Source organism: Homo sapiens, chromosome 11, assembly GCF_000001405.40.
Source record: "Homo sapiens chromosome 11, GRCh38.p14 Primary Assembly".
Lineage (NCBI taxonomy): Eukaryota > Metazoa > Chordata > Mammalia > Primates > Hominidae > Homo > Homo sapiens.
Genome location: NC_000011.10, coordinates 20,384,498 through 20,410,905, shown reverse-complemented (window position 1 = coordinate 20,410,905; position 26,408 = coordinate 20,384,498). Strand labels below are relative to the sequence as shown.

The 26,408-nt window shown below is 37.7% G+C and overlaps 1 protein-coding gene across 6 annotated transcripts in view, besides 9 other annotated features; it reads right to left on the bottom strand.

Annotated features, from left to right (window-relative positions):
• PRMT3 (protein arginine methyltransferase 3) overlaps nt 1-23,190 on the bottom strand; it is a 121,623-nt gene extending 98,433 nt beyond the window's left edge. For 2 of the 6 annotated variants that reach the window (NM_005788.4, XM_047426228.1), the window contains exons 1-9: nt 23,132-23,190; nt 22,752-22,887; nt 21,080-21,162; nt 18,646-18,695; nt 17,907-18,009; nt 14,944-15,103; nt 13,185-13,329; nt 7,922-7,987; nt 2,874-2,995 (exon numbers count right to left, since the gene is read on the bottom strand). In NM_005788.4, the coding sequence (NP_005779.1) occupies nt 2,874-2,995; nt 7,922-7,987; nt 13,185-13,329; nt 14,944-15,103; nt 17,907-18,009; nt 18,646-18,695; nt 21,080-21,162; nt 22,752-22,887; nt 23,132-23,159 (893 nt within the window). In that variant the 5' untranslated portion in view covers nt 23,160-23,190. The other 4 variants (NM_001145167.2, NM_001145166.2, XM_047426227.1 and 1 more) reach the window with 4 other exon arrangements.
• Nucleotides 22,225-22,831: an enhancer, noted in NCBI's record as "H3K27ac hESC enhancer chr11:20409621-20410227 (GRCh37/hg19 assembly coordinates)". NCBI's record gives its function as "activates a minimal SCP1, AML or CMV promoter by ChIP-STARR-seq in naive H9 embryonic stem cells {active_cell/tissue: H9 hESC(naive)}" and the evidence as "EXISTENCE:reporter gene assay evidence [ECO:0000049][PMID:30033119]".
• Nucleotides 22,320-22,369: an enhancer, noted in NCBI's record as "active region_4526". NCBI's record gives its function as "activates an Ori minimal core promoter by ATAC-STARR-seq in GM12878 lymphoblastoid cells {active_cell/tissue: GM12878}" and the evidence as "EXISTENCE:reporter gene assay evidence [ECO:0000049][PMID:35858748]".
• Nucleotides 22,832-23,439: an enhancer, noted in NCBI's record as "H3K27ac hESC enhancer chr11:20409013-20409620 (GRCh37/hg19 assembly coordinates)". NCBI's record gives its function as "activates a minimal SCP1, AML or CMV promoter by ChIP-STARR-seq in primed H9 embryonic stem cells {active_cell/tissue: H9 hESC(primed)}" and the evidence as "EXISTENCE:reporter gene assay evidence [ECO:0000049][PMID:30033119]".
• Nucleotides 22,832-23,482: a biological region, named in NCBI's record as "H3K27ac hESC enhancer GRCh37_chr11:20409013-20409620".
• Nucleotides 22,920-23,479: a silencer, noted in NCBI's record as "silent region_3203". NCBI's record gives its function as "represses an Ori minimal core promoter by ATAC-STARR-seq in GM12878 lymphoblastoid cells {active_cell/tissue: GM12878}" and the evidence as "EXISTENCE:reporter gene assay evidence [ECO:0000049][PMID:35858748]".
• Nucleotides 23,313-23,482: an enhancer, noted in NCBI's record as "experimental_19887 CRE fragment used in MPRA reporter constructs". NCBI's record gives its function as "activates a minimal promoter by MPRAs in K562 erythroleukemia cells, with activity observed for both the introgressed and non-introgressed 11:20409055 variant alleles {active_cell/tissue: K562}" and the evidence as "EXISTENCE:reporter gene assay evidence [ECO:0000049][PMID:34662402]".
• Nucleotides 25,362-25,863: an enhancer, noted in NCBI's record as "H3K27ac hESC enhancer chr11:20406589-20407090 (GRCh37/hg19 assembly coordinates)". NCBI's record gives its function as "activates a minimal SCP1, AML or CMV promoter by ChIP-STARR-seq in naive H9 embryonic stem cells {active_cell/tissue: H9 hESC(naive)}" and the evidence as "EXISTENCE:reporter gene assay evidence [ECO:0000049][PMID:30033119]".
• Nucleotides 25,362-25,996: a biological region, named in NCBI's record as "H3K27ac hESC enhancer GRCh37_chr11:20406589-20407090".
• Nucleotides 25,796-25,996: a silencer, noted in NCBI's record as "peak1232 fragment used in MPRA reporter construct". NCBI's record gives its function as "represses an SCP1 promoter by STARR-seq MPRAs in K562 erythroleukemia cells {active_cell/tissue: K562}" and the evidence as "EXISTENCE:reporter gene assay evidence [ECO:0000049][PMID:32103011]".

Genomic DNA, 26,408 nt, shown 5'->3' with positions numbered 1-26,408 from the left:
ATGGAAAAGCACTCCTTTGTGACTGCAGATGTCACTTGCTGAATCAGGGACATATTTCTTTCACACTTCTATTTTTGCCCACTGATGTAGAAGATGCTATCTTAACAGAAAAAATACTAATAGATGCAAATTGACACCCATCCTTTGATTAAAAGTAAGTTGGTAGCTTTCCCGGAGACTTTAAAAACAAAGACTATTAATCCCAAATTATTCTGGGCTCTGCACCAGTGACAAATATACTTTAGAAGGTCTTCTAACTAATAAAAATATTTAGGATTATGTGGGCAGAAAAAAAATTGTTCTTAAATCTGGATAGAATTACTGTGAATATCTTTAAATAATATTTTTAAATATTTTCAAGGTTTTTAATACTGGTATTAAATTATAAGATTTACACAACTACCTATTTATTTTGAAAAATCATAAAATATAATTTTTTTTAGAAATTGTTTCCGCTGGGAGCTCATCAATATACCAGAAACACATTTAATTCCAGTGTCTCGTTCCTCCAAAACTGTAACTCTAGATCAAAAGTAATATATCACGAAGTGTTTAGATGACCGCAATGAAAAAAGGACTGAAAATTAATTTCCTTCTAGCAATAATTTGTCAGAAAACATTTTCCTCATTAAGTAATTGAATGTTAAATGTATATGTCAGAAACATTTTAAATATTTTACTAAGAAGCTTGGACATGAACACCCTAGCACTAAATATTAATATTATAAACGATGAATTTTAGGTGTAATCATTACATAAACATGTTTCTACAAAGACAATGGGAATCAGGACTTCTGTAAAATAAAATGAAACAATGTATTATAATTCCTTTACATTTCTTTCATAGAGTTAAGAAATTAAAATGAGAGCACATCTAGTCCCATTTTATCGTAAAAAACAATGACTAACTCATAAATGTACTAGAAATTCTAGTAGAAATAGCTTTCATAAGACTAGAAATTCTAGTAGAAATAGCTCACCATAATTTTACTATCAACAATAAAATTTTGAGAATTCTTCTAAAACAATCTCTTCTTTGGGACAGTGGTTCTCATATTTGTTTGGATGGCAATGAATAAGCAATTGAGGGTACTCTCTATGGAACCCCCAAAATGATCATGTTGTACTTAATGGTATCATAAGAACTAGAAAAAGCTTGACTAGATATCTATCTATATATATGTATGTGTAATTCTATAATTGCAAATGCAACGTGTGTGTGTGTGTGTGTGTGTGTGTGTGTGTGTGTGTTTGTGTATTCCAATACAAAAATCGCAACCACAAACCATTATCTATGAAAAACCTAAACAAGTTCAGGGCAATTTTTCCATTAACACTGATTTGGTATTTGTTAATAATAACCATAGCTAACGCTCCAAATATTTAACATGTGGTGGGCAATAGGCCAATCTGATTTATATGTATATCTTACTTAGAACTTATGCACCTCAAAATATTTACTATGTGCTGGGCAACAGGCCAAACTGATTTATATATACGTATTATTTATAACTTACGCATCTTACTTACAACCACAAAAGATAGCCATTATAAGTTTCATTTGACAGTGAAACAACTGAGATTTCTAACACGTTAGATGTACTTTAACCGAAGTTCCAAGTACTGGTTAAATGGTAGAGTGAAGACTACATCCCAAGCTTGATTCAAACTTGTTCTTCTAACCACAACACTATCCTTCTAGTTATAAAATAAAATCTAAACAAATTTAAATATTTTATATAATCATATTTAAATTTTTAAACTAATCAGAAAAGACCAACATTAATCAAATTTAAAAAATTTTTTTTGGAGAAAGTGTCTTGCTCTGTCACCCAGGCTGGAGTGCGGTGGCATGATCACGGCTCACTGCAGCCTCCACTTCCCCAGGTCTATCAATCCTCCTGCCTCAGTCTCCCAAGTAGGTGGAATTACAGGCATGCACCACCATGCCTGGCTAATTTTAAAACACTTTTTATAGAGGACAGAGTCTCACTATTTTGCCTAGGCTGGCCTTGAACTCCTGGGCTCAAGCAATCCTTTCACCTCAGCCTCCCAAAGTGCTGGGATTACAGACATGAGCCACCATGCCTGGCCAACATTAATCAATCTTAAGAGTGGAACAGCAATGTAAGTTGAAGAATCACTTAAAAGTTGCTATGAGAAGCCTCCTATTAATCACATATTCTGGAAATGACTCCTAAGTTCCAAATGTAAGGTGCTTTTGTTAAGCACGTAGGGAAAGAAATTCAGTTGTGTCAGCTGGATTTCAAATAAAGGCCTTCTCACTAGGGTATAAGCCAACTGTAAAATCAATCAACCCAGCTAAATACTCAAAAGACAGAGATTTTTAGAGAATAAAAGTTTTAGGGGGTAATAAACTAAATCCACTCTGCCTTGTTTTCAGCAACTTTGGAATTTACTTAATTTGAAGGAGGTACATGGACTAGTGTTGTTACAAAAGGAAAAGACAAATAACTCTTAGTCTTTAGTATAACTGGTATTTGCTAAAGAAAATATTACTAATATATAATAAATATATTAGTAAGTAGGGAGTCCTCTGTCAGTATTACTCTAAGTATCAATAGTTTTTAATTTTATATTATTAGAATTGGCATATTTATAGCCATAGTCAGAAAGCCAGAAATCAATATAAAAATAATTCTCATCAATGAGAACTGTGAAAAGATTATTCAGCAGCATAGCTCAAATGTGTCTAGCTCAATTCAACTTAAAATCTTATTATTCTGGAGTGAATTTTTACTAAAAGACAAATGTCTTTAGTCTGCCTTAGATAGCTACTAAAGACAAGAAAATCTATTAAATAATCATTAAATTTTAAAATAATCTTAAATGAAGGCTTAAAATATATGTACCTTATAATATCCATTGCCTGGTAAAGTATTTCAGATTGATCAACTCCAAGAACCTTCTTCGCCCCAGCTTTAGCAGCAAACATAGAGAGAATTCCAGTTCCACACCCAACATCCAAAACTACCTAGGGTAATTAAGAAAAAACCAAAACAAAACAGATGTTATCAAAAAGGTCTCTATATTAAATTCTATTCATATATTATGATGTTTCTGGCTAGGAAAAGATCACAATAAAAATCTGAAACTGGCCAGGCGCGGTGGCTCACGCCTGTAATCCTTTGGCCTCCCAAAGTGCTGGGATTACAGGCAGGAGTCACCATGCCCGGCTCTTTCCATTACGTATTGAAATTATAATTTATTAGTATTGACTCCAGAAGAGAGATAATCTAACCATCCTGATATCCACTGAAGAAATAAAGTTGTTGAAAGGCTACTACTTTGTGCTTCCTATCCTATGCCCAGATGGTTTCAGTGGGAATTTGTCTGTTCTTGAACACATGGCCTGTCTGGGTGAGTCAGTACATTTTAACATAATTACTTTTATAAACATTAAGAATTTTACTTTAACATGCAATCTGTATACATCACTGCAAACAAAAAGAATTTTTTAAAAGTTCCAAATAAAACGTAGTAACAAAAATGGCAAGAAAACAGTATACTACATAGTATATATGTATCCAGTACAGTTATAGTACCTCAACTTGAAATACTGTACGGCAGAAAATGAAAAAATAGAAAAATATACACAATAGAACAGTATATAATAAGTTTCCAGAAACTCTCATTAAAATAAAACATTTACAAAACTAAAAAATGAAAAATAAAAGATCAGTGTGGAATTTAGAAGTTTGCTGAAAGTGCTTTGGTGATACTGTCTGGGAAGATCAACACTCCCTTGCTGTGTACCAAAGACAAGCTGGCAGCACAACTGGTGACACCATACATGGTATATACCCTTCATGACCTAGGGAGTCCAGTGCTAACAAATTACCTTATAATTGTGCTCGCATATGTATACAAATATTTTTAATATTTTATATGAAGCATTGTTTCTAACATAAAAACTGAAACAACTTATGGACATTCTTACATTGGATATACGAACTATTAAAAGAATATTAATGAAAAGATGCTCAAAATCACTAATCGTTAGAAAAATGCAAATCAATATAAATATCACCTCACACCAACTAGGATAGCTATTATCAAAAAACTAGAAAACAACAAGTATTGCTAAGGATATGGAAAAATTGGAACCCTTGTGCACTGCTGGTGGGAATACAAAATGGTACACCCACTGTGAAAAACAGCACAGTGATTTCTCAAGGAATTAAAAATGGAATTACCATATGACTCAGCAATTTCATTTCTGGGTATATACCCAAAAGAATTAAAAGCATGGCCCCTAAGAGATATCTGTATACCTATGTTAATAGCAGCAATATTCACAACAGCTTTAATATATAAGTAACCCAAATATCCATAGACAGATGAATGAATGGATAAGCAAAATGTCATACATATGTAAAATGGATTATTGAGCCTTAAAAATGAAAAAAATTCTGACATTCGCTGTAACAAGGTCAAATCTTGAGGACATTATGCTAAGTGCAATAAGCCGGTTACAAAAGGAAATACAGTCAGCCCTTTATATCCCTGGGTTCCCCATCCAGGGAGTCAACCAACTGCTAATCGAAAACATTCGGGAAAACAAATTGCTTCTGTACTGAACATGAAGTCTTCTTTCTCTTGTCACGGTTCTAAACAATACAGCATAACAACTATTTATATAGCACTTACATTGTATTAGGTATTATAAGTAATCTGGAGATGATTTAAAGTACACAGGAAGATGTGTGCAGGTTATATGCAAACACTACACCATTTTATATCCGGTAAATGAGCATTTGTGGATGCTGGTATCCACAGAGGGTCCTGGAACCAATCCCTCACAGATACTGAAGGAACGACTGTACTGTAAGATTCCACTTATATGATGTATATGAGTAGTCAAAATCATAGAGACAGAAAGTAGAACAGTGATTTCCAGGGGCTGGGAGGAAGGGAGAATGGGGAATTACCGTTTAATGAGAACAGTTCCAGTTTTATAAGATGAAGAGTTCTGGAGATGGAGGTGGTGATGGCTGCATGACATTATAAATGTATTTAATACCACTTACCTATACACTTAGGGATAGCTAAGATGGCAAATTTTGTATCATGTTTATTTACCATAAGAAAAAACACGGGGGTAAAAAGATAATAAGGAATTTCTCCAAGAAAAGCTGCTGAGTGAAGAAAGTTAAGTATAGAAAGATATGTTTAGTATATTCCAATAAGAGTATGTGTTTTTTTGTAAGACTATCCATACATACATTCATATATAATGTATATACAAATGCATATATGTGTATGTGTATGAAATCCTTATTTAATTCTCATTTTACAAATGAAGAATGTGAGCTTCAGAGAGGCAAAGAAATAGGTCCAGGGTCACACAGCTGGTAAATTGTAGGGCCTGCATTCAAACACAGGTTAACCTTCTTCTAAAGCCTATATTTTTAATTGTATGTTAGTTATTTATCACATCTAGCTTAGAATTAGGTGATCAAGCAGATTAGCTAAAATTTGATAGAATCAAAGAGGTAGAAATAGAATGAACATTATTTTATAAAATGATGAGGAAATTTGATTCATTTTTTTTCTTAAAAAACTGAATGAATTTTAACTGTAGATAATAATCACAAGCATAAAGAAGGCACCTAACTGGGAATTTCTTCAATAAACTACAAACAGAAATTAATTATGAGTGGGTGACAACACGATTAAATACCACCCAAAGTTAAATTAATCTGAGAAACCATATGGCCTCCACAGGAGCTTTGTGAATTGAAATAATATTAAGAAAAGAAGGAAGAAAAGGAGGCTGGGAAGGGATGGAGAGAGAAGGGAAGGAAAAAAGGAAAGAAAACATTTTTAATAAAAATATTTAATATCTTGATGATTAATCTTATGATTACTAATACTTGAGCCTTTTCAGTATTTACTTACCTATTATAAGACAAGTCCATTCAGAAGCATACTGAAGGAACATTCTAACTTACTTTCTTAACAAGCTCCTCTGGTATTCCTATCACCAAGTATTAAGAGAAGATGGCTAAAAGAAAAACAATGATAATGCTCTCACCGTAATAAAACCCACAGAATTTTAGAACCAGAAGGAATTTTTACAATCACCTTACAGGTTAGGCCCAAAGAGATTCACCACTTGCCCAAAAGTATATAACTGGTTCCAGACTAGCCAGGATTAGTGATTCTCATGTTTCATCTCTATATAACATATTAAGGAAAAAATAAAATAAAAATCTGGGCATCATCCAACTAGAAATATAAAGCAACATCATTAACAGCAACATAATTTGCTTCACTGGAAACAGAGTGGTTTTTAGACAAACATTAAATAAGCTTTCCAGCACTTGTTTTGCAAATACAAAAACTATGAAGGGCCGGCGTGGTGGCTCACGTCTGTAATCCCAGCACTTTGGGAGGCCGAGGCGGGCGGATCACAAGGTCAAGAAATCAAGGCCATCCTGACCAACATGGTGAAACCCCGTCTCTATTAAAAATACAAAAATTAGCTGGGCGTGGTGGCACGTGCCTGTAGTCCCAGCTACTCCAGAGGCTGACGCAGGAGAATCGCTTGAACCCAGGAGGCGGAGGTTGCAGTGAACGGAGATCGCGCCAGTGCACTCCAGCATGGCGACAAAGCGAGACTCTGTCTCAAAAAAAAAAAAAAAAAAAAAAAAAAAAAAAAAAAAAAAAACTATGAAAAGTCTCCACTATAGTAACATATAGAAAGCATACAAAAAAAAACTAAATATAAAAAACTGATAACTATAATTTTTAAATGAAATCATTTATTTGTCTCTGGTGGGAATCAGCACAAACAATTATAAACTTTTCACGAGGTGCAATGCTTTGGCCAAAAAGATCAGAGCACCATATAAATTACAGTATATCTGTCCAGTTCAGCCAACTCACAAGTGAAACACTGCTCTTAAAAAAGAGGTATGGAAAATGAAAAGCCAATCCAGATTATATTCCAAACAATACAAAAATCAGGAAAAAGGATTTTTAAAACACAAAAGTTGTTACTGCTGCCATATCATGTAAACCCCATGAAGTAACCTTAGAGAGATGAAAGCCGAATTATAACAACCTGATACATTATCAATATACATGTTCTCAAAGTAAAAAGAGTGGGAAAAAATTTCCAAGGAAAGGTATATAAATGGCAGAGATCATAATATTCCTGATTAAATTAGGGGACTAGTTTCCCATCAGGAAGAACAAACGGAAAACCTGAACTTTTAAGTAACCATGCCAATGTATAAAGAGAGGAAAAGAGAGAGGGAAAAAGAGAATAAAGAAAAAAAAAAGTGTAAGGAAGAAAAGCCAAAAAACACAAATTTCTAACACACAGGCACATGCACACACAGGGTATAAGATCATTTTTTAAATAACTTGAGCCAATATTAAAATTAATTGTAAAATACAAAGTATCTCTAAATGGGGTAAATAAAGTATTAAAATAAAGCATATAAACTAAATACTATACTACCATAGTGAACCCTTATTGTTCTTAAACTCATTAATTCTCAATTACTTAACACAAACTAGAGTAATAATTAAAAGTATGCTATGACATGGTGCTTATCTGATACATTTAAAATTCATGGGAATAACTGTAAACAAAAAATATGGTTTAAGCAAAATTATCTGAATAAGCAAAATTTAACTAAGCTATGTCATTATAACTAAGTTACGCCATTGTAATAACTTTCAATTTTAAAAAAGAGCATACTGAATGACAGCAGCAATCAGCATTTGTTATTGGTACTCTGCACCACAGAGCAGCATCATAAATGTCTTCCATGAAATACAGACAGAAGATGTTAAATCAATTGCTATCACAATGATGAGCCAAGAGAGGATTTCTACTGCCCAAGAACAAGATGAAATGTATAATTCTATAACCTATACTACTTACCTTGTCTTTGAAGATATGTGGATTTTGGTATATGAAATCTCGGTAGCTTTCTGTTCGTATTTTGTCCTAGGGTGGAGAGAGGAAAACGCTGTGTTTATAGGACAGTCTAAACAAATAAATTTTTTAAGGGAGATATTTGCCATATTAACACACATTGCTAGTTTCCATAGCAGTTTTTATACCTGGGATACCAAGCTTATTTTTTTCCTAAGAAAACAATAAAGAATAGAAATAGCAACAACACACAAAGAAAATATTTTATGAAGACTGAAACTCAAATAAGACCCAAGTTCTTAAAAATGCGTACATTTTCCTCTTGACGTGCATTATCACCATAAGACTTAGAGTGATAATTAAAGCTAATAAAAGATGAACATGTTTTGCTCCTTTCAATAGGGCCTGGAAACTACAGCCTGATTCTCTGTACTAGAGCTATATTAAAATAAGGGAGAAGCCAAGTGCAGTGGCTCATGCCTGTAATACTCACTTGAAGCTAGGAGTTTGAGACCAGGCTGGGCAACAAAGTGAGACCCTGCCTCCAAAAAAAAATAGAAATAAAAATAACAGGCTGGGTTCAGTGGCTCACACCTGTAATCCCAGCACTTTGGGAGGCCGAGGCAAGAGGATCACTTGAGGTCAGGAGTTCGAGACCAGCCTGACCAACATGGAGTAACCCTGTCTCTACTAAAAATACAAAATTAGTCGGGTGTGGTGGCGCATGCCTGTAATCCTAGCTACTGGGGAGGCTGAGGCAGGAGAATCTCTTGAACCCGGGAGGCGGAGGTTGCGGTGAGCTGAGATTGCACCATTGCACTCCAGCCTGGGCCACAAGAGCGCAAATTCCGTCTCAAAAAACAAAAAAAAACAAAAACAAAAATAGAAAGGAGATAAAAGTAAATAAATGTAAACATTGCAGCTACATACAAAAAATTACACTAAACTGGATACGTTTCAGCTACATACAAAAAATTACACTAAACTGGATACGTTTTTCTAAGAAAGTCATTGATCAGCACCTATCTGATTTACATTCCTGTTTTGTCTGTAAAAATTTCTGTAGTAGGAAATGATGTTTAAAAGCCTGTAAGCCTAAAAGTAAATCATTTGAGCCCTGCAGCCCACATTATAAGGCTCCTACACTCTGGAGTCTCCCATAACCTGTGACCAAGGCAAACATGTAACTCTAACATTTATGCTGGTTCATGAACAGAGTTGATTCCCTAGGTTGAAACACATACTGACTGCAAATTAAGCAGTTAGGGGCTCTGCTGTCAAGTAAGTAAAATATGACTGTGATAAAAATAAATATCATAGAATGGGAATTCTAGTTTTAAGTTTCACATTAGGGTGAAAAGAACATATTACACCAATTGCTACAATATCAAAATTTTATACAACTCATACCCCCAATACATTTTTATGCCAACTGAGTTTTTTTTTAATGCATAAAAGGAGATCTTAAAGGGCAAGTTGTTTTACTTAAGTACTAGACCTAAAAAGGGAATTGTCCATAATTAATTCCATGTTTTCTGATTATTTCTCACTGCTTTACAAAAAAATTATTAAATCTTCTCCTGAAGAATTACTAAGATGAATAAATGTATATATATTAACTAATTATCTAATTTTAAAACTTTTTTTCAAAGCATACCGTTTCATACACTTTTACAAATTTTACACTCTTCTGATACTATAACCAGTGATTTTTGCAGAAACGACAAAACTTACACAGAGTGAACATCAGTCAGGAATGCAGTCACTCAGAAAGCTCCCACTAATCATACTGCCTGACCACTACTTCCCCTTAATCAAAAGAATTCCAACTGCTATCCTAATGCCATGCACTGCTGCTCAACTAAACTACAATCTTTCATTCTGGCTCTTACAATATATAAATCTGTTTTTGTTTGTATGCTCATGCTGGTGTAATGAAATCCAAAGTATACAAAACATAGTGTCTTGTATATAGCAGAGCTTCAATTCAGTCACTTAATTTTTGGAAAAAAAAAAAATCCAATAAATACGAAAACGCAAGCAAATAAAAGAGTAGCCTTTATAACCATTTCTAAAAATTTATTCTAACAAAGGCTAACACGTCAATACAAATCAACAATAAACAGAAATTTAAAAATTTTTTTTATATCAACCTTGAAACTAAGAAAAATAAAATAACAAAATTACTGCTCCAATACTTAGGAGCAAGATAATATTTTAAGACTAGTAAAGTATCAAGAAATTATTCCTACAAATATAAAAAAAAGAATGAAGGTAAAGAAAAAAGTTATATACTACAAATTTTACATACACAAGCAACAGTATGTTTTTAATTTACAAGCTCATAAAGGTGGACCAAGTGCATGAGACAGGTGCAGATACAATAAAGAGAATGCAGCAAAGAAAAATTACTGAAATTTCACTTTACTAAATGGTACTATGATCTGTGATAAATGTACAACAGAATGAATAATGTTTATCTTAAAACAAAGAAGACCGATGCATTTCGGATTTATAGTGTTAGCCAATGATGACTCTTCTTCAAAAAGATAAAGTGGCAAGGAATTCTGAAAGTTCATGTAATCTATCCCTCTATCAATCATATCTCTGGAATTCAAAAAAGGTATCTTCATCTTATCTAAAGAAATAAGATCACAAGCTACTTTTATTTAAAATTATAATTAAAACATGTACCAAAAATAGTGTCATGGAAAGACATGAAGCCAAGCAACAAAAAATCCAAATTATACTCTATAAAAACAAGGCCAATGCCAAGCATAAAAATATGTCCTGTAAATATGATTTCTCAATTTTAAATGATTTATAAAAATTAGGTAAGATTCTAGTGGTAATATACCTTGAACAGTTTATGTGTGCTAAGAATCGTTCTAAGAAACAAGAAATAAAGCTGTGATATAAGGCATGCTTCACATTCATCCAAGGCACGTAACTTGGCAAAATGCAAATGAATAAACAGTTCTTTTTGAATCAACTATCCATATGTCCTATAGACATTTAATCAAATCATTTCCAAGGGGAGGAAATTACACTGCACAAGAACTAAAGGAAGCTAAGGCACAAAGAATGATATTTAAGTGATTCTCTCAAAGGGAGAAGGTGGCACTGGAAACTTCAAGTTGGAACTTCTTAAATCTATATGTACATTGAAAGGAGTTAAACGTACCAGAGCAGGTGTGAAGTCTTATGGTTACTGACATACAAGTGTCCAGGATAAAGATTTGTAAATGGTAAGTACTCAAACTGAATTTCCCTGATGATTGTACTCACAACACTCAACACTCTACTGAAAGTTTCGGTGACCTTTAATCTGTCTGAAAAGCCCAACACAATTTCCATACCAAAGGAATGAAAGGTTTATGGTATTTAAGCTGATGGGGTGATTTAATATGACAAACATGGCCCTAGATAAACCTCTTTAAAGAAAATACTCTAAACATAAAAAAATTAATTTTAATAAAGAAAATGAAGCAAGTCAATTTCTTTTCAACAAATTCACTGAGACTTAAAATAACGTATTACTTATAATAACATATCTATTATTTATAATGTTATGCCATTACCTACGTGACAACAAAAAGCACAACCATGACATGCAATTAGTAATGACATGACAATGTTTTAAAAGACCCCATATAAGTACAATTATCAATTACCAAACTTCTATTCTGTGATCCAGCAAAACTGAATCAACAAAATATATACATGTTATCAAATATCCCTGGTTAGCTTAAATGCCTATGCTTCAGGGAAACCATAAAATAAAACAATCTCTGAAAGAAGGATTTAGAAAGGGATATTTTGTTTGTTGGTTTTAAGAACAGGTAATGGTGGCATCTAAAATTCAGAGATAAACATCTAAAACTTTCAATTTTACGTTCCAACATTTATTTTACTCTATGTAGATATTCTCAATTTCACTGAACTAAAAATTACATCTTCCTATTTTACAATCTATAATACTTAATAAAATGTATAATTATCAAGTATAGCTAGAAATCAACTTCTATTTTATATGGATATTACCGTTATAAAAATTAAAACCAGCCAGATTTAAATACAGTCACATGTTGCTTAATGCTAGGGATACTTCTGAGAAATGTGTTGTTGTGTGAACATCATAGAGAATACTTCACAAATGGAGATGGTATATAGCCTACTACACACCTAGGCTCTGTAAGATAGCCTATTACTCCTAGGCTACAAACCTGTACAGCATGTCACTGTACTGAATACTGTAGGCAACTGTAACACAGTGGTATTTGTGTATCTAAGCATATCTAAAGATAGAAAAGGTACAGTAAAAATATGGCATTACGGTGAAACCCCGTCTCTACTAAAAAATACAAAAAATTAGCCAGGCGCCGTGGCGGGCACCTGTAGTCCCAGCTACTCGGTAGGCTGAGGCAAGAGAATGGCGTGAACCTGAGAGGCGGAGCTTGCAGTGAGCCGAGATCGCACCACTGCACTCCAGCCTGGGTGACAGAGCGAGACTCCATCTCAACAACAACAAAAAAAAATATGGCATTATAGTCTCATGGAAGCACCATCACACCAGTCTGACTGACCAAAACACTAGCATGCAGTGCACAACTGTACCTAATTTGACCAATTCAGGAAATACTCCTATATGTCAATTATTTCAAATGTAAAAAACTTACACCATAAAAATTGTGAGATTTATAATTAAACTTTATATCAAAGAATTATTATTGGCCCAAACAAAAGTCAGTATGGCTATTTAAAACACTGAAATTAATCATTTCCTTTACACGTTAAAAGGTAATATATAATTTAATCCATCTAATTGTTCCTATTTAATAGCTGCCCTTGAGAAGACTAAAATTGTCGTTTTTCCAATATTTTAAGGAAAAAGTGATTTCATAAAAAGATTAATGATTTTAAATGGAATGTACAAATGACTGATGCCTCTGTAATCTTTTTTTTTTTTTTTTTTTTTAAATAGAGACAGGGTCTCACTGTATTGCCCAGGCTGGTGTCAAACTCCTGGGCTCAAGCAATCCTCCTGCCTCGGGCTCCCAAAGTGCTGGTATTACAGGCATGTGCCACCGTGCCCAGTCTTGTAATATTTTCAACCCAAGATGAGATACCAAGCACCAAAGAGGTGTTTAAAAAGCAGTTCTCCCCACCCAAAAAAAAGAGGTCTCCTATAGTGCACACATATATTAAGAAAGAACCTGTTCTATTTTTCCTTTAGTATGGATTTGACGCATTTGTGTTCTTTTCTAACCTTTAGCATTTCTTCATGTATCCCATAATGCCCGTATGAGCTGAAATAAACACCATCCTCATCCTCCTGGAGGTCCGCAATGACACTAGTAGATGACGAGCAGGTTCTGACATCTGTGTGCATCACAAAATCCTGAGCAAATTGTCTGTAATCAATTTGAAATACACCCTTGAGACAGGTTTATTGGACCATGAATAAAGGAAAGGCTAGAGGTTGAGGAAGAGGAAAGGGGAGGGAGTACAGTGTGATGAGTCTTCTAAATCACATTCTATCTTGAACAACTGAAAGCTCCCCCTGCTGGATCTGAAGCAATGGCAATATTCAGAAACAATTATACATACTCCTTCTACAAACCACAAAAGCAATGCCAACCGCAGATTGTAGCTCCTTATGTCTTTCAACTGAACAAATAAGCATATTACTTTTATAATCCTCTATTATTTCTATTGTTTTAAAATCCTTTTTTAGCAAATGAATCAATGTCGTTTATTTCAGCTCTATTAATATTCTTTAAAACCATATTATTTCTTGGGAGTATTATGTAAGCAGAAAGTAGACCCAAATAGATAATTATTTACATACACCAGCACCGCCCACTCCAGCTCTAAAACTTAGATCCCTCTCAGATCATGACATATTAGGAATCCATAAGGTATATAAAAGGGAGAAGTTCAAAGGGGCAAAAGGTAGAGCTGGTGTTGGTTACTTGGTTACCTAGCATAAAAATTCTGAAACAGGGAAGAGGAACTACAATTGGCTCTACTATCTTTCCTGCTGGACATTCATTCTGGCAAACCATCAGATGGGTACTCAGGCAACAGCAAACAGCTTACAAATCCAACAGGAAGGCCTGTGAGGTATACTTGTCAGAAATGCAGAATCTCAGGCCCTATTCTCAATCTTCTGAATCAGAATTTATATTTTAACACGATCCCAGTTGATTCCTATGCACATTAAACTTTGAAAAGTACTACACCAGTAGAATGCTAATTTATTCACTGGAAAAAACTGTCACTGTATATCTGGTTTTCTGGGTTCATACTACACCATAATTACATTCTGATTCCCCCCCACCGACCCCACCCCGACAAAGTCTTGCTCTGTTGCCCAGGCTGGAGTACAGTGGTGCGATCTCAGCTCACTGCAACCTCCCCTTCCCGGATTCAAGCAATTCTCCTGTCTCAGCCTCCCAGGTAGCTGGGATTACAGGCGTGCACCACCACAACCCGGCTAATTTTTGTATTTTTAGTAGAGACAGGGTTTCACCATGTTGGCCAGGCTGGTCTCAAACTCCTGACCTCATGATCCTCCTGCCTCGGCCTCCCAAAGTGCTGAGATTACAGGTGTGAGCCACCGCACCCGGCCTACATTTTGATTCTTTAAAACTAAAAACTTCAACCCTGTATTTTCCCCAAACCTCAAAAAGATTAATCCTTCCACTTTAAAAAACTAGGATAGAAAAAGTAAAATGGAGAAATCAATGCAAACAGGAAAACTGAAAGGAAGGCAATAAAGAACAAAAACATTCATGAGGACAACATTTGTCAGAACATATCAGAATAGGTAAAACTATAAGATTTTATATTAATTAACTATATCCATAGTGTACAAAAATGCTACATATCTTTAACAGTATGAAGATAAAATATCTACATTGTACTTTCCAGTATATGAAATGTTCTACTATATTCTACTTTGCCATTAGGTTGTATTATTCTGGAGATCTAAAACAATTAATTTTGCAAGATTGATAAATTACTTCATTTTTTGCAGATCCTCACGTGCTCTGGCCAATGCGGCTTCAGCAGACAGTGCCCTGGCTTCCATATGTTTCAATTTTTCAACAACAGATGTATTTTCACTGAGTCCATTGGGGTATGAGAAGGGTACTGACACCGGTTCATAAAGATCTTCTACATCTAAAGAAATAAATGGACATTATTATCAGGCCATCTTATAACAATAAAACAAGTATAAATATGTTAGGAATAAATACGCCCTAAGTTTCTACTATGTGGCCAATTGAGAAAGATTAGTGAAAGTACTTTTAATTGAATATTAATCATCTTGGCTTTGCACAGTGGCTCTTGCCTGTAATCCCAGCACTTTGGAAGGCCGAGGCAGGCAGATCACTTGAGGCCAACAGTTCAAGACCAGCCTGGCCAATTTGGTGAAACCTTATCTCTACTAAAAAAAAAAAAATACAAAAAGTTAGCCAGGTCTGGTGATGCGAGCCTTTAGTCCCAGCTACCTGGGAGGCTGAGGCAGAAGAATTGCTTGAACCTCGGAAGCGGAGGTTGCAGTGAGCTGTGATCGCACCACTGTACTCCAACCTGGGCAATACAGTGAGACTCGGTCTTAAAAGTAATAATAATAATAATAAATATTTATCATCTACACTATTTTAATTTGAATTCAAAGAGCATGCTGTTAGTCTAAGTTTTTCATTAGTTGGCTAAACTGAACATATATTTAAATATTAATTATTAATTATACTCAACCAAATCCAGGAAGAAAGAAAAAAGTAGAAAGAAAAAAACCTAATATTTATTGATCAGCAGGTATCTTTCCAGTACATCATTACATCTTGTTTTATTCTCAAAACACAGTTAAGATGTATTTATCCCTATTTTAGGCAAGGAAAAAATAAATTTCAGAGAAATTAAGTGACTATCCTAAAGTTATATATCTGTTTATGGAGGAACTAAGATTTAAACCCAAACCTGCCTTCCCAGCCCACGTTCTTCCCATTACACAAAGCCACCTCCTAGCCCATGTCCTTATTGTAGCAGGTATTAAATTCAGATATTGCTTAAGGGAAATCCTGCCATATATGAAAATATGAATGAACATGGAGGACATTATGTGAAGCAAAATAAGCCAGACACAAACAGACAAATACTGTGTGATCTCACTCTTGTGTGGAATTAAAAAAAAACTCACAGCAGCAGAGAGTGGAATGGTGGTGGAAATGAGGAGATGTTGGTCAAAGGGTACACACTTTCAGCTACAAGATGAGTAAGTTCTGGGCATCTGTCTATTGTAAAGTGACTATAGTTAAAAATGCTGCACTGTATACTTGAAATTTGCAGACAATAGATCTTAACTGTTCTCACCACAAAAATAAAAAAATGGAATGTGAGGTGATGATGTTAATCAGCTTGGTTATGGTAATCATTTCACAATGTATATGCATATCAAATCATCACATTGTATACCTGAAATGTACACAATTTTCACTTATCAATTATACCTGAATAAAACTGGAGGAAAAAAAAAACATTCCTAAGGACAGCGTGTAAAGAATTCTACACATTCAATAATTTTTCATCCTGGGCAAGGTGGAGTGAAATCTATACACTAAAGTCTTATTGCTGATATTATTAAATATCCTAATTCCTAGTATTTAATTTTAATTTCACTTCTCTACAAAGAGAAGTTAATATATGTAGTTAGTGAATTTCACAAAATCAGTGTCCATTTACTGATCTAACTTTCGGATCAACTTAAGGCAGTGAGCAGTGCAAATATTACATTTTCCCCTCAGGATAGCACTGGAAGAAATGTGACTTCGTAAAAATTCCTATTCATTTTTTAGTTGTGAAGACACGTCCTTGGAATTAGGACAAAATAGCTAAGCCAAACGAATGCATTATACTATAAGAGACTACAGCCTAAGTTGAATTCTTGTTATAAAAGCAGTGCAGGGTGTCACTAACTTCTCATCACTGTGGCAGAATATTGAGTCACTGAGGTTTAAAAACTGCATCATTCACTATCTAATTCACCAAAAATTAATCAGCACAACAAAATATTTCCAAACTATATAAGGCTGGTATACTGTATTTTCTACTTCCTACTACAAACCTCATTTTGTATTTTGATTTCAAAATTCTTCAAACTGTTTGGCCAGTTTCTGTTTTGCTTTCTGCTGCAATAAAAATTAGTCATAATAAAAACTTTTTAATGTTAAGAATATGCAGATAATTATATATTAAAGATTAAACTTAGAGATTTGAAAAAAAGAGGATTCAGTAAATATTAAGATTCCTAACTACAATTTGCTAGAACAGTCTAATTCAAAGGCCTAAACCATATTCAGAAAGATGAACATCTACATCTACCTTCTGTCTCAGGATGTTCAAATCACCTGGATACTTCTTTCGGGCAGAGAAGAATTACTGCAAAGGCTGACCAATTTTTCAGTAAAATATAACAATTATAAATGTGTATAAACCTCACATAAGAGCTCCAAAATACATGAAGCAATTAAAGGCAAAACCAGACAATCTTTTGATCACAGAGTTTTTAGTTTTTTTAGACAGAGTCTTGCTCTGTCACCTGTATACCAGGTTCAAGTGATTCTCCTGCCTCAACCTCCCGAGTAGATGGGACTACAGAAGCCCGCCACCATGCCCGGCTAATTTTTTGTATTTTTAGTAGAGATGGGGTTTCACTGTGTTAGCCATGATGGTCTGGATCTCCTGACCTCGTGATCTGCCCTTTTAGCCTCCCAAAGTGTTGGGATTACAGGCGTGAGCCGCCACACCTGGCCGACTATTAGTTTTTAAGCAACTTAACTTTTCTACTGAAACTAACTACCTGATGAAGCATTTAGATAATTTTAAAAAGCATGTCTTTTCCTAAAACACTCTACCTCCATTTTGCCGTTAACAAACGGCCTTATGTTAATTAAAGGAGATACACTTATGTTCATCTTACCAAATTGAAGTAAAAGGTCATCTTCTAATACTGGCTTCAAATACTCTTCTTTCTCCCAAGGCACTGGGTTGTATATGGAATTCATGTACTCAACTGTAGGATTCTGGATATAAAATTAATCTCATGTTTTTTTCATTACATATAATCACAAAATCCCCTTAGTAAAAACTACAGAAATTAAACAAAAAGGAAATCATGTTTGCATTACACAAAGTCAGTATGTCTCCAAAAAGTCTACGTGCCTGTCATTTCATTAACTTGCTGGACGACTGCTTAACCAGCAGTTTCAACGCAGAGTTTTTTTTACTGTTTGGATTTGGGGAAAGCGTTGTCATGTCATTAAACATTCATTTAAACAGGACAAAAAAAAAAAAAAACAAAGTATCTGAAAAAAAACAGAATAAAAAAGAGCAACCAAAATACTTAAAATCACATTAGAAATTATTTCTGATTTTACAGATCCTGTCCATCAGTATTTCCCTTTATTTGACACTGAATTACTTTTTCACATACACCGATTCATCTCTTAGATGCAGTGAAAACAATATTTGTTAGTTATGGTAGACATTTACATGGTGCTTTCTGCTGTGCTACCTCCTAATGTCCGTGATTCCCCCAATATGATGAGTACCAAATTTAATGCAGTTCCTCATATTCTTTTAAATAATCAGTACACTGACAGTCACTGTAGCATTTCTTTGATTTCTAAACGAAATTATAAATTAAGCTGTCAACTTACCTTAAGTCTAATAAAATTTATTAGCTTAATGTATCCATAAAATTCAAGTCCTAAAGGGGGAAAAAGATAATTCACCTATGTTAACATAATGAGTTTTGTTTAACTGACCTATTCTATAAAGCCTTCTCTGATTAAACAATAAAATAATTCTGACCTCTAAATTACTACTTATATTTTGAATTTTATTAAGAATTAGAAGTAGTAATACAATGATACTTCTGAATATCTTGAGAAGCAGCCATAAATGACAAATTAAAGCTTTTCTAGTATTTCTAAAAAGATGGAAAACTGATTTCTAAAATTCTACTCCTCCTTTGTCAGAACAATACAAATCTGGAAAATTAAGATCCACATTTTACCAAGTATTTGGCAACTGATATCAGAGCTGAAAGTATTAAATCCCTAATTTTTATGGTGTGTATCAAATTATAATTTTGCCAGGACATGGTGTATACTAGCTTTTACATGAAGTTAAATGATGCAAGCCCAATAAGGCTTGTTATCTGGTTCTCGTATCTTTCCAGAAATGAAGCAGCATTTAAAACAAAGGAAAGCAGTAATACATCCAACCAACCAATTATTTGTCATAAAACTCTTGTTATGAGAAAACTTTAATAGTATACAAACCCCCTATATCGGTAAGTAAAAAAAAAACAAAACAAAATTCTATCTTAAGTATGATTCTAATACTTTAGAAATGCAACATTAAAAACATTAAGGCTGGGCACAGTGGCTCATGCCTGTAACCCCAGCACTTTGGGAGGCCAAGGCAGGCGGATCACCTGAGGTCGGGAGTTCCAGACCAGCCTGACCAACATGGAGAAACCCTGTCTCTCCTAAAATACAAAATTAGCCAGTGTGGTGGCGCATGCCTATAATCCCAGCTACTTGGGAGGCTGAGGCAGGAGAATCACTTGAACCCGGGAGGCGGAGGTTGCAGTGAGCCGAGATCGTGCCATTGCACTCCAGCCTGGGCAACAAGAGCGAGACTCCGTCTCAAAAAAAAAACAAAAACAAAAAACATTAAAAAATGAGGCTGTCATTTATGCCTTACGAAAGTACTTGCAGTTGAATTTATGATTTATAAACATGTGATATCACGTATTTATCTGACACTGAAACACCTGTTAGTATTTGCTATTCTTCAGTAATGTCCCTTCTTAGTTGTCAACAAATATAGGGACCAAAAAACCTATTATTTTTTTTTTTTTGAGACGGCGTCTCAGTCTGTCACCCAGGCTGTAGTGCAGTGGCATGATCTTAGCTCACTGCAACCTCCGCCTCCCGGGTTCAAGTAATTCTCCTGCCTCAGCCTCCCAAGTAGCTGGGACTACAGGCACATGCCACCATGCCCGACTAATTTTTTGTATTTTTAGTAGAGTTGGGTTTTCACTGGGTTAGCCAGGATGGTCTCGATCTCCTGACCTTGTGATCCATCCGCCTTGGCCTCCCAAAGGTTTTCACTGGGTTAGCCAGGATGGTCTCAATCTCTTGACCTTGTGATCCACCTGCCTTGGCCTCCCAAAGTGTTGGAATCACAGGCGTGAGCCACAGCACCTGGCCTATTTAGTTAATTTTATTGTAGTATAGCTCTTCTACATCCATTTAAAGTGGAAGGCCTTAATTGTAAGGCAAGTGTGTTTAAATAAAAGTTTCAATAGAAACATCACCTGAGTATTTTGCATATTAATCTTAACTTCATCACTCTTTTTCCAGTCTCTACCGAACTTTGTATAAAACTCAGTCTCGTAGGCTGTGAAGTTCATGTCATGCTTTGAGCTGATTGTCTTTTTTCAAATGACCTGCGTCCTTTTTCAAGTCCTACATCTACACTTGCTCTCCCTAAATCTAATATGTAATCACATAAAATGTAAAAATGTAATCACATGCCAAGTCTGTTTTTGTTTTTAGTTGAAAAGCTAATATAAGCTTAAATACAGTGAATCTTGTCTAGAAGAGTGACTTATTCATCTTTTCTCAAGGACCGCTTGTCAAAAAAACTCCATTTCCACAAGATGTTGCTGTGTGATTCGCCATATTAAACTCGTACAGAAAAGGGTCTGAAAAACTATAAAATCTGAACTTATATTTCACAGATTTTTTTTTTTTTTGAGAAGAGTCTCACTCTGTTGCCCAGGCTGGAGTGCAGTGATACCATCTCAGCTCACTGCCACCTCTGCCTCCCAGGTTTAAGCAATTCACCTGCCTCAGTCTTCTGAGCAGCTGCTATTACAGGTGTGCGTCACCACACCCAGATAACTTTTGTATTTTAGTACAGGTGGGGTTTCAGCATGTTGGCCAGGCTGGTCTTGAACTCCCGACCTAAAGTGATCCACCCACCTCAGCCTCCCAAAGTGCTGGGATTACAGGTGTGAGCTGCCATGCCTGCCCAAATTTCACAAATTAAATTGCCTTTATTCTAAAAACTACTCACCATGTTTATGAACCATGCTGTCAATATTAAACTGATGCTCAGACTTACAGTGTGAAAATGTTTCTTCAGCAGATGTGAATAACCTGAAAAATCAAGCAATAGCTTCATGGAATAGTCCCCTAAGAAGTCTAAATACTGATTTCATGTTACATATACACTTTTTTTTTTTTTTTAACTCTGCTGGTTTCTAGTTTTACTTCCAATTAAGAAAAAACAAACACACTTGTATCTGAAAGGAAGGGAATCCAGCACTTTTAAAGGGAATTAGTACTTCTGAGTCCCATTTTATACCTAAAACCAATTATCCTTTAAATGTCAAAGTGAATTTATTTGTCAAATAATATCACTGATTTTATCAAAAGGCTTTTAAGAGAGTTCCCTTTGATAGAGTCTGTTTCTCTCAAGTCATACAATTTCTCTACTTGAGATTCTTTTCTCCTCTAAGTGTCAACTCTGCTTTCAGAGGCTTTGAACTGGCACAGCTCAAACTGCTTTTAGAAATAAAGCATAAAATGTAATTTTACAGCTGGCATACTCCCCAAGTGCCTTATTTCAAAAGTGATCTTGTAGTATTCCCAACGTACTTGCATCACAGACACTGTGAGGATCAATCCTCTTTATTATGTGACATGCAAATCTGAAGGCTACTTAAAGACAGGAATACACAGCAGAGAAGCTGTATACCTTATCTATATTCCTAACACATGTGGAGCATTAGTTTTCCACAAATGTTTACCGAGATAGGTTATGTCGACTATTTATGGAGGCTATCACAGCCACGGTACCACTGGTGCTCAATAAATATTTTATGACAACTAGAATATATACAGGCATTCTATCTACCCAATGGGGCTACAGATGAGAACACTAACGCACCACCACTCAGCACCATGCCCAGATACAGGGAACACTGGAAAATGTATTAAAGTAACACCGGCCAATGCCAACCGGGCCTCTTTCATGCCTACTTGCCTAGGACAGGAGCCAAAGCTTCCCAAGACTAACAGGCAGAATTTTAAGTGGCAAGAATGTGAGTTTGGAAATAAGCACACCACAGCTTTGTGACCTTGAGCAAATTATTGATACTACAGTCTTTTTCCTTAAGTGAAAAGTCCTACTTAAGTAAGGTGAACTTCCTTCTTAGACTATGGAAACCGCTCAAATAAAAAAGAAATGTTTCACCTGAGAAGCTCTGTACTGGTCAAAGAATTAGCATGGTAAAGCCGGAAGGCTCCGTAGGGATTATCTAGTTCAGGGTGGCTGCCAAATATGTTACTCGTTAGTAGTAACTCGTTAGTAACTTCACTGTTACTTCCGATCTTGTCCTCATAAAAACAGAATATTCTTAGACCCCATCCCTGACTTGGAAGGATTCAGGTGCAGAGTTCAGTATCATTTTGTTTTCAGCGTCTCAAGTGACAAGATTTGGGAACCACAGATTCAATGCACTACCAGTCAAAAGCTTGCAGTACAACCGGCCTTCCAGTTCACGGTTCCCCCTCTCTACTACCGAGGGTCCTCCTTCTCCACAAGCCCTCACCCCAGACCAGTGGTTCCAGAATTCAAAGACAGGCCACTCTGGCTTGCCTCCCGCCCGAAGGCGTTCCTGGGCACACAGACCCCACGCGCCCGGGCACCCTAGGGCAGAGGCCAGGCGCTGAGGCGGACGAACCTGTTACAGAACAGGCAGGGGGTCTGCTGCTTGCCGTGGGGGAGATCTGCATCGTCCTCATCCTCCCAGGCGGCCTCGTCCCCGCTGTCCGACAGTTCTGGCAGGTCCTCCTCATTCTCCACAGCGCCCCGGCCGCCTAACACACACACACAACAATCAGATCGGCCTCGGACACCGGTGCGGCCCGGGGGCTCGAGGAGCAGGTGACGATGGGCTCTCCTCCGCCCCGTTCGCCCGCGGCCCTCACTCAGCACCTCCTTCATGATCCCTGCGAGCCCCCCACCCTGCCCGGGCCCGTGTCCCGGAGGGTCTTCCACCGGCCCCACAGCGGCGCGGCCTGGGGCTGGACGAGCCGGGTGCTGAGGGGCCAGGGTACCCACCGGTAGCGCCTGACGCTAACGAGCACATGGCTGTGGTGCCCCGAGAGCCCGGCGTGTCTGGGGGCGGGGACCGGGTTGGGCAACGAGCGCGCGCAGCGGCCGCCGACTCCAGGAACGAGCGCGAGCACAAGCGCGAACCCGCGGCGGGACCCGGGCTCCGGAAACTTCGCAGACCGCCGGGAACGCCGAAGCGCGCGCGCTGGCTCGCAATCGCTTCCGGCCTCGAGGCGCCGTGCGGGTCACGTGAGGTGGGGGCGGGGCGAGAGCGGGGGCTCCGCCTCCTCCTGCCGCAGGGTTGGCGCAGTGCGCGCTGAAGAGGCGCGCTGATGACGGTTAATGTTGCAGCCCGGAAGATGACTTTTGTCTCCTCCTTGGGTTGCGGCAGGCGTTAGTGGGAGGTCGCGGCCCGCTGCTGTGAGCCCCAAGGCAGAGAGACGTCGCTGCGGTTTTGGGGTTGGCATCCTGTCCTCTGTGCGCCCCTTTTTCCTGGGATGAGCGGTTAGCGGAGGGGCGATCGGCCCATGACGCCCTCTGGTGGCGGAGGAGGCCAAACGCTGGAGGCTCGGCTGGTTTCTGGGCTCCCAGGTCCTGGAGGGGGTGCAGCTGGCGAGAGGGAACGAACTGCATGGGCCAGGGTGGGTCTACTGCAGGGACAGATAGGTGTCAAACCCCCCAAGACGGATTTTAATCTTTGGTTAAGTGAGAACGTGAACTCTAGAGGCAGCCTGCTGGGTTTGAATCCTACCCACGTCACTTTGTAACTGTGATCTTGGGCAAGTTACTCGACCTCTCTCTGCCTCAGTTTCATCAAATACAAAACAAGGATAATAACTGCACTTGGGCAGGGCACGGTGGCTCACGTCTATAGTACCAGCACTTTGGGAGGCTGAGGCGGGCGGATCACCTGAGGTCAGGAGTTGGAGACCAGCCTGGCCAACATGGTGAAACCCTGTCCCTACTAAAAATACAAAAATTAACCAGGTGTGGTGGCACGCGCCTGCAATCCCAGCTACTTGGGAGGCTGAGGCAGGAGAATTGCTTGAGCCCGGGAGGCGGAGCTTGTGGTGAGCCGAGATTGTGCCACCGTACTCCAGCCTGGGCAACAGAGCAAGACTCCATCTTAAAAAAAAAAAAACAAAAAACAAAAAACCTGGACTAACTTCAGAACTACAGTAAGGATAAAACGAGTTAATACATGTAAAGTGCTCAGACATAACTATTTAAGCCAGGGAGTGATGCTCTCAGATGTGTTGAGAAAGTAACAATCTGGCTGCTGTGTGGGGAAGAACACAAATGTTCCCCTGCCTGCCTCATGCCACGTCCCTTTCTTCCTTTCCTTATATCTCTTCAAACCATAGAACTTTTTTTTGTTTGATTTTTGAGACGGAGTTTCGCTCTTGTTGCCCAGGCTGGAGTGCAATGGCACGATCTCAGGCTCACCGCAACCTCCACCTTCCGGGTTCAAGCGATTCTCTTGCCTCAGCCTCCCGAGTAGTTGGGATTACAGGCATGCGCCACCACGTCCGGCTGATTTTGGATTTTTAGTAGAGACAGGGTTTCTCCATGTTGGTCAGGCTGGTCTGGAACTCCCGACCTCAGGTGATCCACCTGCCCGCGAGCCACCGCCCGGCCCAGAATTCTTGCTTAGGAGGGAGTGCCCCAGGCTCTAGCAGAGTTTATCTAATTGGCCTATCAGGCCCTGCATAATCCTGCCTCTTTCCAATGGAACCCTTCACCTTGGGTCCCACCCTTAAGCCTTTTATTTACTGCTAATCATTGAATGTTCTACACATGGGTAGGTCCCTTTGGTCTCAACCAGAAACACTTTCCTCAGGCCATTTCTAAAATAGTTTCCACCATTATTTCAGGAGTATCCTGTTAGTTTCTTAGCACCCACCATTTGCTTACTTGATTTTTTTTTCTTTTTTGGTGATACCCCACAGCACTGAACAATAAGGGTAAGTAAGGGCCATGTCTCTTTACTTTCATTTCTCTGGCACATAATATGTGGCCTGGCCCATAGTATTAATAGATACTGAATGTATTCACTGAATAAAAATGATGCCTTATATTATTGCTAAATGTACTTCTAAATGTACTTTTCTCCCTTAATTGTAAATTCCTAGAGGACAGAATCCATTAAATATTAGTTTTTGTTTTTGTTTTTCTTTGAGACAGAGTCTCGCTCGGTTGCCCAGGCTGGAGTGCAGTGGTGCGATCTTGTCCCACTGCAACCTCCACCTCCCAGGTTCAAGCGATTCTCCTGCCTCAGCCTCCCAAGTAGCTGGGATTATAGGTGCTCACCACCATGCCTGGCTAATTTTTATATTTTTAGTAGTGACAGGGTTTCACCATGTTGGTCAGACTGGTCTTGAACTCCTGACCTCAAGTGATCTGCCCACCTCGGCTTCCCAAAGTCCTGAGATTACAGGCGTGATTGACCGCACCCGGCCCAAATATTAATTTTGAAGCTTTCTTACATCCTAGGACATTGCCAGAATAGCTGCTGGCTCTCTTGAGTTGGAGTCATCGTTCATGGATGCATCCCCAGTGCCTGTGTGCTCAGTGGCACATGAAAGGCACTGAATAAGCATTTGCTGAATGAATTAATGAACACTTGATTACCTGGGCCCATCCAACTTTTCCCTTCATCCTTCCAACATAAACTTTTTCTGTCTGTGTAACATTTGGTGGAAAACTTCCTGAATCCCTTAGTACTAAATGGAACACCCAGTCCATTCAGTGTTGACAATAAAACAAGTTAACACCCATTGTGGAGGAGTGATTGGGCCAGAGTCTTGTTCCTTAGTAAGTTCATATCTCACCACAATGCAGAGCTCAAGAGAGGGCTGCTTTTCTCTCTACTCCAAAGGTGAACACAGACCCTTCCTCATTATCCCACATCACTACTGAGACCAGAATAACATGTTGAATGAAACCTGCTCGAAGGTTTGTGAGTAAGGAAATAATATAAGGAGAATAACTTAAAACAGGCCACTGGGTTTAGCTGCTTTCAGAGCCCAGAGGCCTCAACATATCCTCGGCCCATGCTTTTTCACCATCAAAACAACACACTTAGGCTCTTCAAAGTCCAACTCCCAGGGAACCCCACCTGGCAGAAGGAAGATATTTCATTTCCTTTTAAAGCTCACATTTCAATATCCCACCCTGCCCTAAAATATGCCTCTTTTTTGGGTGACTGACACTGGGAATGTCTTCTCCCTTCTAAGGATATACACTCCAAATTAAGGAGAATGGCCTTTATCCTCCAGTGTAT